The sequence below is a fragment of the Homo sapiens genome, chromosome 16 (genome assembly GCF_000001405.40).
Source record: "Homo sapiens chromosome 16, GRCh38.p14 Primary Assembly".
Taxonomy (NCBI): Eukaryota; Metazoa; Chordata; class Mammalia; order Primates; family Hominidae; genus Homo; species Homo sapiens.
In genome coordinates, this window is record NC_000016.10 from 1,293,507 (window position 1) to 1,309,073 (window position 15,567).

Here is a 15,567-nt window from a genome sequence, read left to right on the forward strand (position 1 = left end):
TAAAGTGAAAGGAAGTTTATTAGGAAAGTAAAGGAGTAAAGAATGGCTACTCTGGCTGGGCACGGTGGTTCACACCGGTAATCCCAGTACTTTGGGAAGCTGAGGCAGGCAGGTCATGAGGTCAGGAGTTCGAGACCAGCCTGGCTAGTATAATGAAACCCTGGCTTTACTAAAAATACAAAAAATTAGCCGGGCATGGTGGTGGGTGCCTGTAAGCCCAGCTACTCAGCTCGGCTGAGGCAGGAGAATCACTTAAACCCAGGAGGCAGAGGTTGCAGTGAGCCAAGATCATGCCACCGCACTCCAGCCCAGGCAACAGAGCGAGACTCCATCTCGAAAAAAAAAAAAAGAATGGCTACTCCATAGACAAAGCAGCCCCGAGGACTGCTGGTTCTCCGTTTTTGTGGTTATTTCTTGATGATATGCTAAACAAGGGGTGGATTATTCATACCTCCCCTTTTTAGACCATATATGGTGACTTCCTGAGGTTGCCATGGCATCTGTAAACTGTCACGGCTGGTGGGAGTGTGGCAGTGAGGACGGCCAGAGGTCACTCTTGTCACCATCTTGGTTTTGGTGGGATTTGGACGGCTCCTTTGCTGCAACCTGTTTTATCAGCAAGGTCTTTATGACCTGTATCTTGTGCTGACCTCCTGTCTCACCCTGTGACTCAGAATGCCACAGCGGTCTGGGAATGCAGCCCCACAGGTCTCAGCTTCATTTTACGCAGCCCCATTCAAGATGGAGTTGCTCTGGTTCACACGCCTCTGACAACTTGAGCCCAGGAGGTTGAGGCTGCCATGAGGCTACACTCTATCTCAAAAAAAAAAAAAAAATTCCAGGAACATGAAGATAATGAGTGATGGTTACATTGTGCATCTTGTGGTAACATTTTAGGTAATTTATCAGCTAGTCTGAAACTACAGGGAAAGAAAGGCAAATTCCCTGAAACAGCTTCCCTCCTCGCACAGGCGCAGGGGCTTCACACGCCTCCTGCTCAGGTCTCTCTGGGCCTGATCCAGGTCACAGACCTCACGTTTCCCAGGCTCTCTGAGCCACATCCATGGGGTGGGCCTGGTGCACCTTCCAAACCTCACCCTGAGTATCTCTTCATCTGCCCGCTCATTTTTATCCTCTAAGACATCTGCAAAACAAAAATAAAATTATAAGCCCCCAACTGATGAAACAGACCCCTCCTCTCCTCCAAGGGGATTCGAAAGTGGCTCAAAACACTAGTTCAGGCCACGCTGGGAAGGGGGATTGGACATGCCTCATTACACCCTCCTCCCTTTGGGATTCAGGCCCCACTGACCAGCCTTAACATTAAAACAGATTTTTTTTTTTTTTTTTTTTTTTTTGAGAGGGAGTCTCGCTCTATTGCCCGGGCTACAGTGCAGTCACATGATCTCGGCTCACTGTAACATCCACCTCCCGGGTTCAAGTGATTCTCATGCCTTAGCCTCCTGAGTAGCTGGAATTACACGTGCCCACCATCATGCCTGGCTAATTTTTGTATTTTTAGTAGATATGGGGTCTCGCCATGTTGCCCAGGCTAGTCTCGAACTCCTGACCTCAAGTGATCTGCCCACCTTGGCCTCCCAAAGTGCTGAGATTATAGGCGTCAGCCACTATGTCCAGCCCCAAAATATATTTATTTGATATATTTTTAAATGGCCCTGCAAAGCTGCCTCTTGTGGGGGAAATTTACACTCTGCAGAGAATCGTCTTCCCTTAACAGGTCTCTTTTTTTTTTTTTTTTTTTGAGATGGAGTTTCACTCTTGTTGCCCAGGCTGGAGTGCAATGGCGCGATCTTGGCTCACTGCAACCTCTGCCTCCCAGGTTCAAGCAATTCTCCTGCCTCAGCCTCCGAAGTAGCTGGGATTACAGGCATGTGCCATCATGCCCAGCTGATTTTGTATTTTTAGTAGAGATGGGGTTTATCCATGTTTGTCAGGCTGGTCTCTAACTCCCAACCTCAGGTGATCCGCCTGCCTCAGCCTGCCAAAGTGCTGGGATTACAGGTGTGAGCCACCGTGCCCGGCCCTTACTAAGTATTTTCAGGAGAGTCTAGCACCTTTTAAGCTCTGGTAAGAGACATTTGCCATCTATTCTCTCTGAAGCCTGCTACCTGGATGCTTCATCTACATAACAAGAACCTTGGCTTCCACAATCCCCCCTGAATTTAGCCCCATTTTTTTCTGCAGACTTCAACTCTTTAGGCAAAACTTAAGTCTTTCAACCAACTACCAGCCCGGAAATCTTTGAATCCACCTATGACTGGGAAGCTCCCCTCAGACATTCCACCTTTCCAGACTGAACCAGCGTGCACCTTGCATGTATTGACTGATCTCTGCCTATAACTTTGGTCACCCTAAAATGTATAAAACCAAGCTGGAGGCCAGACGAGTGGCTCACACCTGTATCCCAGCACTTTGAGAGGCCGAGGCAGGCAGATCACTTGAGGTCAGGAGTTTGAGACCAGCCTGGCCAACATGGTGAAACCCCGTCTCTATTAAAAATACAAAAAAAGCTGGGCACAGTGGCTCACGCCGGTAATCCCAGCACTTTGGGAGGCTGAGGAGGGTGGATCACTTGAGGTCAGGAGTTCAAGACCAGCCTGGCCAATGTGGCAAAACCCCATCTCTACTAAAAATACAAAGATTAGCCAGGTGTGGTGGCAGGTGCAGGTAATCCCAGCTGCTTGGGAGGCTAAGGCAGGAGAATCGCTTGGACCTGGGAGGCAGACGTTGCAGTGAGCCGAGATTGCACCACTGCAATCCAGCCTGGGCAACAGAGAGCCAGACTCCATCTCAAAAAATAAAATAAAATAAAATAAATTGCCAGGCATGGTGGTAGGTGCTTGTAATCCCAGCTACTTGGGAGACTGAGGCAGGAGAATCACTTGAACATGGGAGGCAAAGGTTGCAGTTGTTAGAAACAAATGCTTGTTCCTTCATGCCAAAAAGAAGAACTAACACTCAGACCAAAAATTTTCTCACCAAGACAATTTACATTTTTTTTTTTTTTTTTTTTTGAGACAGAGTCTCGCTCTGTCACCCAGGCTGGAGTGCAGTGGTGTGATCTCGGCTCACTGCAGTCTCCACCTCCCGGGTTCAAGTGATTCTCCTGCCTCAGCCTCCTGAGTAGCAGGGATTACAGGTGCCCTCCACTACGCCCAGCTAATTTTTGTATTTTTACTACAGACGGGGTTTCACCATGTTGGTGAGGCTGGTCTCGAACTCCTGACCTCGTGATCCACCCGCCTCAGCCTCCCAAAGTGCTAGGATTACAGGTGTGAGCCACCATGCCCAGCCCCAAGACAATTTACTTCTATAGAAGGGTGCATCTCACGGATGGAGCAATGGCGAGAGCACACCTGGACAGGGGAGGGGAAGGGGTTCTTATCCCTGACGCCGGCAGCCCCTCCTGCTGTGTGGTTCCCCTATTGGCTAGGGTTGGACCACACAGTCTAAGCTAATTCCAATTGGCTATTTTAAAGAGAGCAGGGGTACGAGTCGGAGTGGCAGAGTGAGTAGTTTGGCAGGAAGGACAGTTATAGAACAGGTGACTCAGGATGTGTCAGGGCAGAGCAGGTGACAGGGTGACTCAGGGCAGAGCAGATGACCAGGGAAGAGATGTGAGCTACTGATTAGAACTGGTGGGAAAGTTGTTTACTGAAAGTAGAGGCAAGGGAGCAAAGAACCAGGAAGTTAAGCTTTAAAATGGAGAATCAAAGAATAAGAGAGCTGAACAAACTGACATGCTGATTCTTTGAAGAGAAACTCGGAGTTCACTATATTTAACACAGTGAGCTGATACAGTGCCACTGCATTCCAGCTGGCAACAGAGCAAGACTCTCTCTCCAGAAAAAAAAAAAAAACAGCTGTAGCCCAGACACCTTCACACATTCTCAGGACCTCCTAAGGCTGTGTCATGGCCAAATCCTTAACCCTGGCAAAATAAACTTCTAAATTGATTGAGACGTATCTCAAATACTTTTTGGCTTACATATCCTTTGTAATAAATCTGTAATAGTAAATAAAGCATTTCCCTGAGTCCTGTGAGCCACTCTAGCAAATTGTTGGGCTCAAGAGGTGGGTCCTGGGAATGGCCTATTTGTAGCCAGGTCAGACAGAAATCGTGGGTAACCTGTGGGTAACCACAGTCCAATGCCTGGCAGGTCAGCGTACCAATGCCAAGGGCTGTGGCAGGGAAGCGTTTTATTTTTATTATTTTTTTTAAGACAGAGTCTTGCTCTGTTGCCCAGGCTGGAGTACAGTGGCATGACCTCGGCTGACTGCAACCTCCACCTCCTGGGTTCAAGTGAGTCTGCTACCTCAGCCTCCTGAGTAGTTGGGATTACAGGTGCCCGCCACCACGCCCAGCTAATTTTTTTATTTTTACTAGAGATGGGGTTTCACCATGTTGGCCAGGATGGTCTCAATCTCTTGACCTCGTGGTCCACCCACCTCGGCCTCCCAAAGTGCTGGGATTATAGGCGTGAGCCACTGTGCCCGGCCTGAAATTCCTTATAGACGCATATCTCCCCCCACAAAAGATGGCTTTGCAGGGCCATTTCAAAATATAGCAAAGAAACATAATTCGGAGGCCAGGCACAGTGGCTCATGTCTGTGTCTTTTTAGTTTTTTGTAGAGATGGGATCTCACTGTGTTTCCCAGGCTGGTCTCAAACTCCTGGGCACAAATGATCCTCCCACCTGGGCCTCCCAAAGTGCTGGAATTATAGGTGTGAGCCACCGTGTCTAGCCTGAGAAAGGGGAACGCTTGTGTCCTAAAGATGGGTGTATTAATTTCCTGCCACTGCTGTAACAAATTACCACAAACATGGTAGTTTAAAACAGTGGAAATTATTTATGTGTTTAAGTCCTGTCTTTTCTTATTGTCATGATGGCTGTGCCACTCCCTGCTGCCTCCATGGCCACGCTGTCCCCTCCTGTTTGCGTCCCCTCTGTGGAACCCTCTTTTTTTTTTTCAGGTGAAGTTTCACTCTGTCACCCAGGCTGGAGTGCAATGGCGTGATCTCCACCTCCCGGGTTCAAGCGATTCTCAGGCCTCAGCCTCCGGAGTAGCTGGGATTACAGGCCACCACGCCTGGCTGATTTTTGTAGTTTTAGTAGAGACGGAGTTTCACCATGATGCCCAGGCTAGTTCCAAACTCCAGACCTCACGTGATTTGCCCGTCTTGGCCTCCCAAAGTGCTGGGATGATAGGCGTGAGCCCCCGCACCCGGTGAGCCCCTCTTATTAGAAAGATGCACAGGATCCCGGTGAACCCCTCTTATTAGAAAGATGCACAGGATACTGTTCAGAGCCCACCTGGATGATCTCCTCTCAGCATCCTTCACTTTTTCACATCATTGGCTACATGAGACCCAAAGGCTCCGGGAATTAGGACACGGACATATCTGTGGGGAGCCACCATTGAGCACGCCACCGTGGGGAGGGGACAAGCATGTACAGACACCCTGGAAGATAATTCAGCCACACTTAGTGAAATTAGGGGTACTCGTGTCCCCTCCTGGACAGACTGTGCCCAGAGAAAATTCTCACACAGAAGAAGATCAGGTACCATTCGAACAGGAGTGCATCCAGAGACGAGGTGGGAGGAAGCCACAGATGTTCACTCAGGGGTTCACTCAGCACCATCACTCGATTCCCAAAGCACGGTGCTGAGAGGAAGATGCCCCCGAACAAGAATCCTTGCCTCAGGCTCTGCTCCGGGGGAGCTGATGGGAGACCCAGACCTAGAGCAAACCCTGGGAAAAGTGCCCAGCTCACGCTGCATTCGAGTTCTGCCAGGGAGCACAGCAATGAAGGGTGTGATGGCCCCAAGTGGATTTCACAGCACTGGGGAATCCGAGAGGTTCCGTCCAATCGCCGGATCCTGGCCCAAGGAGCACGGGCCCTGGTTCTTTCCTCCAGGTCCCGAGGCCAGCAGGGTTTCTCCTTCGATGGTCCTTCTGTCTGTCCCCCAGGGCTCCCTCCTCCTCCCCCAGCTCCGCACAGCAGGCTGCCCCAGCTCCCTGCCCTCTTCACCGGGTCACCCCCCGCACCCGTCCCCCGGGGTGGGAGGACTACTGGACGGCCAGCGGCCAAACCTACGCATGTGACCTACAGCGTATTTCACCACGTCAGGTGAAACCTGAGAACCGCGGGGGCAAAGGTAGAACTTTTTTCTTTTTTCTTTTTTTTTTCCTTTCATGTCTAGTCCTGCAGAGATAACTTTTATTTTCTAAGTGAAATAATTTTTCCCTCTCAAGCTCTAAGTCTGTTTGATTCAGTCAATTGAATCCAGACATTTTCAGTCAACGGCCAGCAAGGTTCCGGCTGGTTCGTTCATTCATTCATTCATTCATTCATTGATTCATTCATTCATTGCACGGATAACTCACTAAGCACCCGCCACAGGTCAGGCACTGCTCCAGACACCAAGAATACGGCAGTGAACGCACAGGCAAATGTCCCTGCTCTCCTGGATCCGCAAGAGGGCACGACCCAGGGAACAGGTTTCAGAGCCAAATTACCCCAGCTTCCAAAAGGTTGAGAAATGCTGTGTAGCTAATGCCCCCCTGAAACGCCTGCACCTGTATACAGGTGCAGTGAACATGCCTGTGTACACCCGCTCCAGCGCACACACACTTACATAAGCGGGTGTAAAACGTGAGCGATTTCTGTAGCCCTGAAAGCCCGTCTAAGAAGCTGAAGTTTGTTTAAAAAAAAAAAAAATTTTAACAGTGCCAGGGTCGCGCGGGAGGCCGGGTGTGGTGGCTCACGCCTGTGATCCCAACACTTTGGGAGGCTGAGGCAGGCGGATCACCTGAGGTCAAGAGATGGAGACCAGCCCTGGCCAACATGGCAAAACCCCATCTCTACTAAAAATGCAAAAGATGAGCCAGGCCTGGTGGGCGCCTGTAATCCCAGCTACGTGGGAGGCTGAGGCACAAGAATCACTTGAACCCAGGAGGCAGAGATTGCAGTGAGCCGAGAACATGCCATTGCACTCCAGCCTGGTCCATAAGAGCGAAACTCAGTCTTAAAAAATAAAAAAAAGCATCAGTCTACCTTGCTAAGAAGCTGAAGTTTCACACGTCGGCTTCAGATGGCGGCTACAGCATCTGACCCACCGTCCACGCGCATGGGAATCCCAGGAGCCCAACCCCACCTGGCTGCAGCCCCATGTCAGGAGACCTGGTCCAACCCGCTGCCCCGCCTCCCCACGCCCTCCTGCTGGGTGGGGTGAGGGCTGAGAGCCCACACGCCCCGGTGTGCGACTCTGCAGAGGAGTGACTGCAGGTCTGCCTGCCCTGCCTCAAGCATCTTAGACACCAGTCAGTGCCCCACTGTCCTGGCCAAAGCGTGTCCTTCGTGCCCCAACACAAGCACAGCCCACTCTGCAGGCGCGGCTCTGGGCTCAGGCATCCGGTGTCCCTGGAGGGGTCTCCACAGGCTCAGGCAGAGCCCCTCCCGGGGGCGGCCCCACGGTGACACCCACTCCAGGGCCATGGCCGTGTCCCCTGAGGCACCAGCGTTTCACGGCAGGGCCAGCAGGGGGCGGCAGGCAGCCCAGGAGGCGGACGGACTCCCGGCAGCTCTGCCCGGCTGGCCGTCTGTGGAGCCCTGTTGACAAACCTCCCCTGGTCTCCTGCTCCAGCGTCCACCCCGCCGCAGGCCCCTCTGCTGACCCCTGCTGCCGTCGCTTGGGTCCCGGCACAGCCCTCTTGCCTCTGCCCGCCCCCTCCCGGGCCGCCTCCTCATGGGGCTTCACGCACCTGCCCAGCCGGGACAGCCAGGTCTGCACTCCACCGGGTCCCAGGCTCCGGGAGCCCAGCAGGACCCAACCTGAGCTCCCCCCTCGACCCTCGGCCACCCAGACCTGCGGACCCGGCATCCCCCAGCCACGCAAACGCTAGGCCAGGGGGTCACCCTGGACTCCCCCTGCCCTCCCACTCCCTGCAAGTCTGAGTCCCAGGTACCCCTCCATCCACCTCTCTGCGTGGCCCTGTCCACACCACCGAGCCCCCACACCCCAGATTTCTGCAGGAGTTCGGCTGAGAGGTTTCCCGCGAGGGTCCTGCCCCTCCCAGCTGCTCCACAGCTCTGATCCAAGCAGAATGCCAATCGCTTGTGTTATGAAGACCCTACTCTGGTGCCCCTCTGCCGGCAGGGGGGAGTCCGAATTCCTTGCTGGGCTCGATTCAGGCAGCCCCCACCCCTGAGCCCTCAGCCTGGCCATTCTGAACCACGCCCTGGCCCACTCTCTCTGACCTCACCCTTCACCGCTGCATCCCGGAAACTCCATGCCCACCTCAATGCCACCTCCTCTAGGAAGGCTGCCCGGACCTGTGAGGGTGTTGGGGCCTCTTTCACTGTCCTCACAATAGTGTGGCTCTGGCTCTGCAGCAACTCCCCCCTTGCTGACCATCTCCCCAGCGGCCTGTCAGCTCAGGACGGAGGTGGTGGCCGGAATGGATCCTCCTTTACCCCAGCACGGTGCTGGCCCAGCATGAACACACATTCAGGGAGCTTCTGCTGTCTTGAAAACAACAGAGAGTAAATATGAAGTTGGGTCGGGCACAGTGGCTCATATCTGTAATCCCAGCACTTTGGGAGGCCGAGGCGGGTGGATCACCTGAGGTTAGGAGTTCCAGACCAGCCTGGCCAACATGGTGAAACCCCGTCTTTACAAAAATACAAAAAGTAGCCGGGCATGATGGCAGGTGCCTGTCAACCCAGCTACTCGGGAGGCTGAGGCGGGAGAATCGCTTGAACCCAGGAGGCGGAGGTTGCAGTGAGCCAAGATTGCCTCACTGCACTCCAGCCTAGGCGAAAGAGCGAGACTCCATCTCAAAAAATAAAAAATAGGCCAGGCATGATGGCTCATGATAGCTCATGCCTGTAATCCCAGCACTTTGGGAGGCCAAGGCGGGTGGATCACCTGAGGTTAGGAGTTGGAGACCAACCTGGCCAACATGGTAAAAATACAAAATTAGCCAGGCGTGGTGGTGTGCGCCTGTAATCCCAGCTCCTCAGGAGGCTGAGGCAGGAGAATTGATTGTACCCAGGAGGAGGAGGTTGCAGTGGGCCGAGATTGCGCCGCTGCACTCCAGCCTGGGAACAGAGTGAGATTTTGTCTCAAAAAAAAAAAAAAAAAAACTAAAACAAACAATAATAAAAATGTTGAATTATAGAGTGGGCAGGGCACAGTGGCTCACGCTGCAATCCCAGCACTTTGGGAAGCTGAGGTGGGACGATCGCTTGAGCCCAGGAGTTACAGACCAGCCTGGACAACGTGGTAAAACCCAGTCTCTACAAAAGGTACAAAAATTAGCGGGGTGTGGATTAGTAGGGTGTGGTAGTTCACACCTGTAGTCCCAGCGACTTGGGAGGCTGTGGTGGGAGGATCGCTCGAGACTGGGGATGTCAAGGCTCCAGTGAGACAGGATTGCAGCACTGCGCTCTAGCCTGGGTGGCACAGTGAGACTCTGTCTCAAAATTAAATCAAATTACATTAAATTAGCCATGCATGGTGGCTCACACCTGTAATCCCAGCACTTTGGGAGGCCGAGGCAGGAGGGTCCCTTGGGCCCAGGAATTTGAGACCAGCCGGGGCAACACAGGGAGACCCTGTCTCTAAATGTATTATTTATTTATTTTTGAGACGGAGTCTCTCTCTGTCACCCAGGCTGGAGTGCAGTGGTGTGATCTCAGCTCACTGCAACCTCCACCCCCCCGGTTCAAGCAGTTCTCCTGCCTCAGCCTCCTGAGTAGCTGGGATTACAGGCGCCTGCCACCACACCTGGCTAATTTTTGTATTTTTAGTAGAGATGGGTTTTCACCATATTGGTCAGGCTAGTCTTGAACTCCTGACCTCAAGTGATCCGCCCACCTCGGCGTCCCAAAGTGCTGGGATTACAGGTTGTGAGTCACTGTGCCCGGCCAAGGGCTGCGATTTAGAGGAGGCCGGAAAGAGCCACCGGGCGGGTGAGGTGGGAGGGCGGGGCATGTGGGTGGGGCACTGCTCAGGGAAAGGCATGGAGGCAGGAAGCAGCCCAGGTGTGCAGGAGCCAGGCTTGGGCAGAGGGACGACGTGGAGGGAATACGGCATGGGCAGGCCACTCCTGCCCTATCCAAGGGCTCCTGGTCTTAGCAGCATCTATCAGAGGCAGAACAGGCTGCAGTCGGGGAGAGAGAGGAGGGTACCTGACCCGCCCACATGTACCAGGACAAGAATGCTGCACGCAGGGCCAGGTGGGAGGAGGAAAGGTCACGCCCCATGCACCCCGGTCTGTGGGCTTTTCCGTCTGTTTCAGAGGGTTGGGGGCCAAAAAGTCCTGGCTCCTGGCTGGACTCTCCCTGCATGGGTTTCCAGGGGCTGCCACGACTCCACCGGGCGCTCTCTTTATTCTCTGCAGTGCTCACGACGGTCATTCCAACTGTGCTGGCCACGACCAGGACTGGAGACCCATCCCTCACCCCAATCTGGTCCCGGCCTCTCTCTTCCGCGACAGAGGTGATCAATTTGGGGATTGGCAGTGACAGGCATCCAATGAGGCCCACCTCTTTGAGAGTGCAGAAAATCAAAGCTGTAGGTCACGGCACAGGGAAACAGAAACGGCCCCAGACTTTGCTCCTACCCCCACCATTCTTCTAGCGGATGGGGACCTGTGAGCCTGGTGACCACCACCAAGGAAGCGGCACAGTCAGGAGCGAGGGAGCGGGCTTTGCTCCTTCTCCCTACTGAGCCTCCCAGCCTGGGGAATTTGAGACTAGAAGACACCCCCTGCACTCTCTGGGGCCAGCCAGAGGCTGAGGGCCCAGGCCTCTACAGTTAGGGGGTTCCCCCAGGGAGCTCGGGAGGAGCCCTGCAGAGCACAGTAGGATCGGGGCACAGCTGGGTCACAGCCTCTGAGCAGTATCTTCTGAAACCCTCATCCTGGCTGGTTGAGCTGCAGGGGAGACCCCCAGAGAGTCGAGGGCGTGTCCTGAATTGGAGGAGGAAGTGAGGTACATCCGGGCTGGAGGGGCAGGAACCAGAGTCTTTTTTTGTTTGCTTGTTTTTTTTTTGTTGTTTTTTTTTGAGACGAGTCTCGCTCTGTCGCCCAGGCTGGAGTGCAGTGGCGAGATCTCCGCTCACTGCAAGCTCCGCCTCCTGGGTTCACGCCATTCTCCTGCCTCAGCCTCCCGAGTAGCTGCGACTACAGGCGCCCACCACCACATCCGGCTAATTTTTTGTATTTTTAGTAGAGACGGGGTTTCACCGTGTTAGTCAGGATGGTCTCGATCTCCTGACCTCATGATCTGCCTGCCTCGGCCTCCCAAAGTGCTGAGCCACCGCGCCCGGCCTTGTTTTGGTTTTTTTGAGACGGTGTCTCACTCTGTCACTCAGGCTAGAGTGCAATGGCATGATCTTGGCTCACTGCAACCTCTGCCTCCTGGGTTCAAGCGATTCTCCTGCCTCAGCCTCCCCAGTAGCTGGGATTACAGACGCCTGCCACCATGCTCAGCTAATTTTTGTATTTTTAGTAGAGATGGGGTTCCACCATGTTGGCCAGGCTGGTCTTGAACTCCTGACCTCAGGTGATCCACCTGCCTCAGCCTACCAAAGTGCTGGGATTACAGGCGTGAGCCACTGCGCCCGGCCCTCCAGAGCCATTTTCTTATTGATGTAGGGATTTTCTATATCCCAGATTTTTTTGTTATTTTTTTGAGACGAAGCTCATTCTGTCCCCCAGGCTGGAGTGCAGTGGTGCAATCTCAGCTCACCGCAACCTTCGCCTGCCGGGTTCAAGCGATTCTTGTGCCTCAGCCTCCCCAGGAGCTGGAGTGGTGTGCACAACCATACCCAGCTAACTTTAGTATTTTTTAGTAGAGACGGGGTTTCACCATGTTGTCCAGGCTGGTCTCGAACTTCTGACCTCAAGTGATCTGCCCACCTCAGCTTCCCAAAGTGCTGGGATTACAGGCGTGAGCCACCGCGCCCAGCCTATTATCCTGGATAATAACTCCTTCTCAGATATGTGAATTTTTTTTTCTTTTTATTTTTAAATGAAGTCTCGTTCTGTTGCCCAAGCTGGAGTGCAGTGACGCCATCTCGGCTCACTGCAACCTCTGCCTCCCGTGTTCAGGAGATTCTCCTGCCTCAGCCTTCGAAGTAGCTGGAATTACAGGCGTGCACCACCACACCCAACTAATTTTTGCATTTTTAGTAGAGACAGGGTTTCACCATGTTGGGCAGGCTGGTCTCAAACTCCTGAGCTCAAGCGATCTGCCCTACTCAGCCTCCCAAAGTCCTGGGATTACCAGCGTGAGCCACCGCGCCTGGCCCGAGGCTGACTTTTGAGCTGGTTTTTGTGCGTGCTCCGGGGTAAGGGTCCACCTTCACTCTACTGCAGAGGCCCTTATTCCTCTGGGGGAATCGGCCCTCAGTGAAGAGGCCTCTGCTCTCAAACCCCTGTGCAGAGCCTGGCCCCAGCAGGCCCCGGAGGGGGCACCCAGGGCACTGGAGGTCCCGCCCTACCGCAGGCAGCTCTGCATCACACTTCCTGCTCCCCTCCCAAGGGGACCAGGGCAAAGGTGGGCGCGTGCCTGGCACAGTCAGCCACAAGCCTTGCCCAGGATCTTATAGTTACTGATTCAAACCCCCCACCCTCTCCAAGCCTCAGTTTCTCCTTTGTACCCAGGGAGCTGGACCCAACAAGTCCCCTCTCCTTGAAAACGTGTGCCAGGTGCAGGCTGCTCAAAGGACACTTGTGGGCTGAGGATGCACAACTGAGGGAGCCTCTTCCCTCCCCCACCTGCTCCATGCCCCTCACCCCCACCTGCTCCATGACCCTCACCCCTACCTGCTCCATGTCCCTCACCCTCACCTGCCACAGCCTCCCCAAACCCCAGCCCCTCCTGGCACTACTTCCCACCAGGACAGGAATTCTCTAGATGCCTGAGCCATGTCTCCTCAGTCCCTCACCACACACACACAGGGAACCAGGGCCTTGTCTTACTTCTCCTGTTCCACAACCTTCTATGGCTCCCATGGCCCACAGGTTCAGGCCCAGGCCCTCCCCAGCCACACACCACATCCAGTCAGTCTCCCCAAGCCCCACTCATGACAAGCCCCCCACCTCACCAGCCCTGCCCTCTCTGTGCCTGAGGCTGCAGCGGGATCCACCGAGGCCCGTGGCTGTCTTGCTTTTCTTCAGCCACGGCTTTTACTGGCTGACGCCTCCCCACACAGCCCTGTGCTGGCATCTTCGCCAGAAAGATGGCGTTGGAACCTTAGCCCATGTCAGGAAGCCAAAGGGCCATATCCCTCTGCCAGGCTTGCCCAGGGGGCTGGTTAAGAATGCAGATTTCAGCTGGGCGTGGTGGTCCACACCTGTAATCCCAGCACTTTGGGAGGCCGAGGTGGGCGGATCACTTGAAGTCAGGAGTTTGAGACCAGCCTAGCCAACATGGTGAAACCCCGTCTCTATTAAAAATACAAAAATTAGCCGGGTGTGGTGGTGCACGCCTGTAATCCCAGCTACTCGGGAGGCTGAGGCAGGAGGATCGCTTGAACTCAGGAGGTGGAGGTTGCAGTAAGCCAAGATGGCGCCACTGCACTCTAGCCTGGGCAACACAGTGAGACTCCATCTCACAAAAAAAAGGAAAAAAAAAAAGCAGATTCCCAGGACCTCAAGGCTGGGGGCCAGGACAGCAGGTGTCTAGACAGGCCACGGAGGCTCTGAGCCTGGGAGTTGCAGCCAGGCCAGGCCCCCGCTGGTCTTGGTGGGACAGGGCTGTGCATGGCTTCCAGGGACTGGATTCTGGGGGAGGCTGCCCCTGCTGCCCTGGACCCACATCCCCACGGCTGCGCCTCCCAGGCAGGCAGACCCAGGGTGTGTGGCTGCCCCTCCTGCTGCAGGTGCCTGACAGGGAAATGCCCGCTGGGGACCCTGTGGGAGGTGGTGGGGGAATGAGTGAGGGAGGGAGGGAGTGAATGAGTGAAGGAGGGAATGAGTGAGTGAGGGAGGGAATTAATGCATGAGTGAGGGAGGGAATGAATGAATGAGGGAGGAAGGGAATGAGTGAGGGAGGGAATGAATGAGTGAGGGAGGGAATGAGTGAGGGAGGGAATGAATGAGGGAGGGAATGAATGAATGAGGGAGAGAGGGAGGGAATGAGGGAGGGAGGCAATGAGTGAGGGATGGAATAAATGAGTAAGGGAGGGAATGAGTGAGGGAGGGAGGGAATGAATGAATGAGGGAGGGAGTGAATGAATGAGTGAGGGAGGAAGTGAATGAGGGAGGAAGGGAATGAGTGAGGGATGGAATGAATAAGGGAGAGAATCAGTGAGGGAGGGAGGGAATGAATGAGTGAGGGAGGGAATGAGTGAGGGAGGCAGGGAATGAATGAGGGAGGGTGGGAATGAATGAGGGAGGGAATGAATGAATGAGGGAGGGAATGAATGAATGAGGGAGGGAGGGAATGAGGGAGGGAGGGAATGAATGAATGAGGGAGGGAATGAACGAATGAGGGAGGGAATGAATGAGGGAGGAATGAGTAAGTGAGGGAGGGAATGAGTTTGTGAGAGTGGGAATGAGTGAGGGAGGGAGGGAATGAATGAATGAGAGAGGAAATGAGTGAGGGAGGGAATGAGTGAGGGAAGGAATGAATGAGTGATGGAGGGAATGAATGAATCAGTGAGGGAGGGAATCAGTGAGGGAGGGAATGAGTGAGTGAGGGAGGGAGGGAATGAATGAGAGAGGGAATGAGTGAGGGAGGGAAGGAATGAATGAGGGTGGGAATGAATGAATGAGGGCGGGAATGAATGAATGAGGGCGGGAATGAGTGAGAGTGAGAATGAGTGAGTGAGGGAGGGAATGAATGAGTGAGGGAGGGAATGAGTGAGGGAGGGAATGAGTGAGTGAGGGAGGGAATGAGTGAGGGAGGGAATGAGTGAGTGAGGGAGGGAATGAGTGAGTGGGAATGAATGAGTAAGTGAGGGAGGGAATGAGTGAGTGAGGGTGGCAATGAATGAGTAAGTGAGGGAGGGAATGCGTGAGAGAGGGAAGGAATGATTGAGTGATGGAGGGATCGAATGAATGAGGGAGGGAGGGAATTAGTGAGGGAGGGAGGGAATTAGTGAGTGAGGGAGGGAATGACGGAGTAGGGGAGGGAATGAATGAATGAGTGAGGGAGGGAATGAATGAATGTGGTCACTCCCCGCGGTCCCCAAGCACCCGGACACCGTGACCTTGGCTGCGGCCCCGCCGTCGGCGAAATGCGGGCGGGGGGGCCGGGAGAGCCCGGGGGCCAGCACGGTCGCGCGTTGGCGAACGGACTGTCCCGCGCGCTCGCGGGTCTGGGGGCCTCCCGACCCGGTCCTGCTTGTTGCGTGGGCGGGAGGGGGGACCGGAAGCGCCCCTCCCCCACGGGCTCGCCCCGCCCCCGCCGCTCGCGGTCCCCCACGTCCCGCCCGCGCCCCGGCCCAGGGCCAGCCCCCGGTTTAGGGAGCATCCACACTTCTCCTCCCGTCGGTCATGCTCGCATTCGGCCTTTTGTACGGGGT

General features: G+C 54.4%; 1 long non-coding RNA gene across 3 annotated transcripts, besides 4 other annotated features; it reads right to left on the reverse strand.

Annotated features, from left to right (window-relative positions):
• Window positions 1-6,099, reverse strand: UBE2I-AS1 (UBE2I antisense RNA 1). 3 transcript variants are annotated; one of them, NR_198995.1, is made up of 3 exons: window positions 5,590-6,099; window positions 5,337-5,485; window positions 1-1,144 (listed from the first exon to the last, which is right to left on the reverse strand). It is a non-coding gene; the product is annotated as a UBE2I antisense RNA 1 (long non-coding RNA). The 3 variants fall into 3 exon arrangements; NR_198996.1 differs by lacking the exon at window positions 5,337-5,485; NR_198997.1 differs by lacking the exon at window positions 1-1,144 and having other exon boundaries at window positions 4,850-5,485.
• Window positions 2,149-2,349: a silencer, noted in NCBI's record as "peak2468 fragment used in MPRA reporter construct". NCBI's record gives its function as "represses an SCP1 promoter by STARR-seq MPRAs in K562 erythroleukemia cells {active_cell/tissue: K562}" and the evidence as "EXISTENCE:reporter gene assay evidence [ECO:0000049][PMID:32103011]".
• Window positions 7,471-7,620: a silencer, noted in NCBI's record as "silent region_6965". NCBI's record gives its function as "represses an Ori minimal core promoter by ATAC-STARR-seq in GM12878 lymphoblastoid cells {active_cell/tissue: GM12878}" and the evidence as "EXISTENCE:reporter gene assay evidence [ECO:0000049][PMID:35858748]".
• Window positions 7,791-7,840: a silencer, noted in NCBI's record as "silent region_6966". NCBI's record gives its function as "represses an Ori minimal core promoter by ATAC-STARR-seq in GM12878 lymphoblastoid cells {active_cell/tissue: GM12878}" and the evidence as "EXISTENCE:reporter gene assay evidence [ECO:0000049][PMID:35858748]".
• Window positions 15,199-15,488: a silencer, noted in NCBI's record as "silent region_6967". NCBI's record gives its function as "represses an Ori minimal core promoter by ATAC-STARR-seq in GM12878 lymphoblastoid cells {active_cell/tissue: GM12878}" and the evidence as "EXISTENCE:reporter gene assay evidence [ECO:0000049][PMID:35858748]".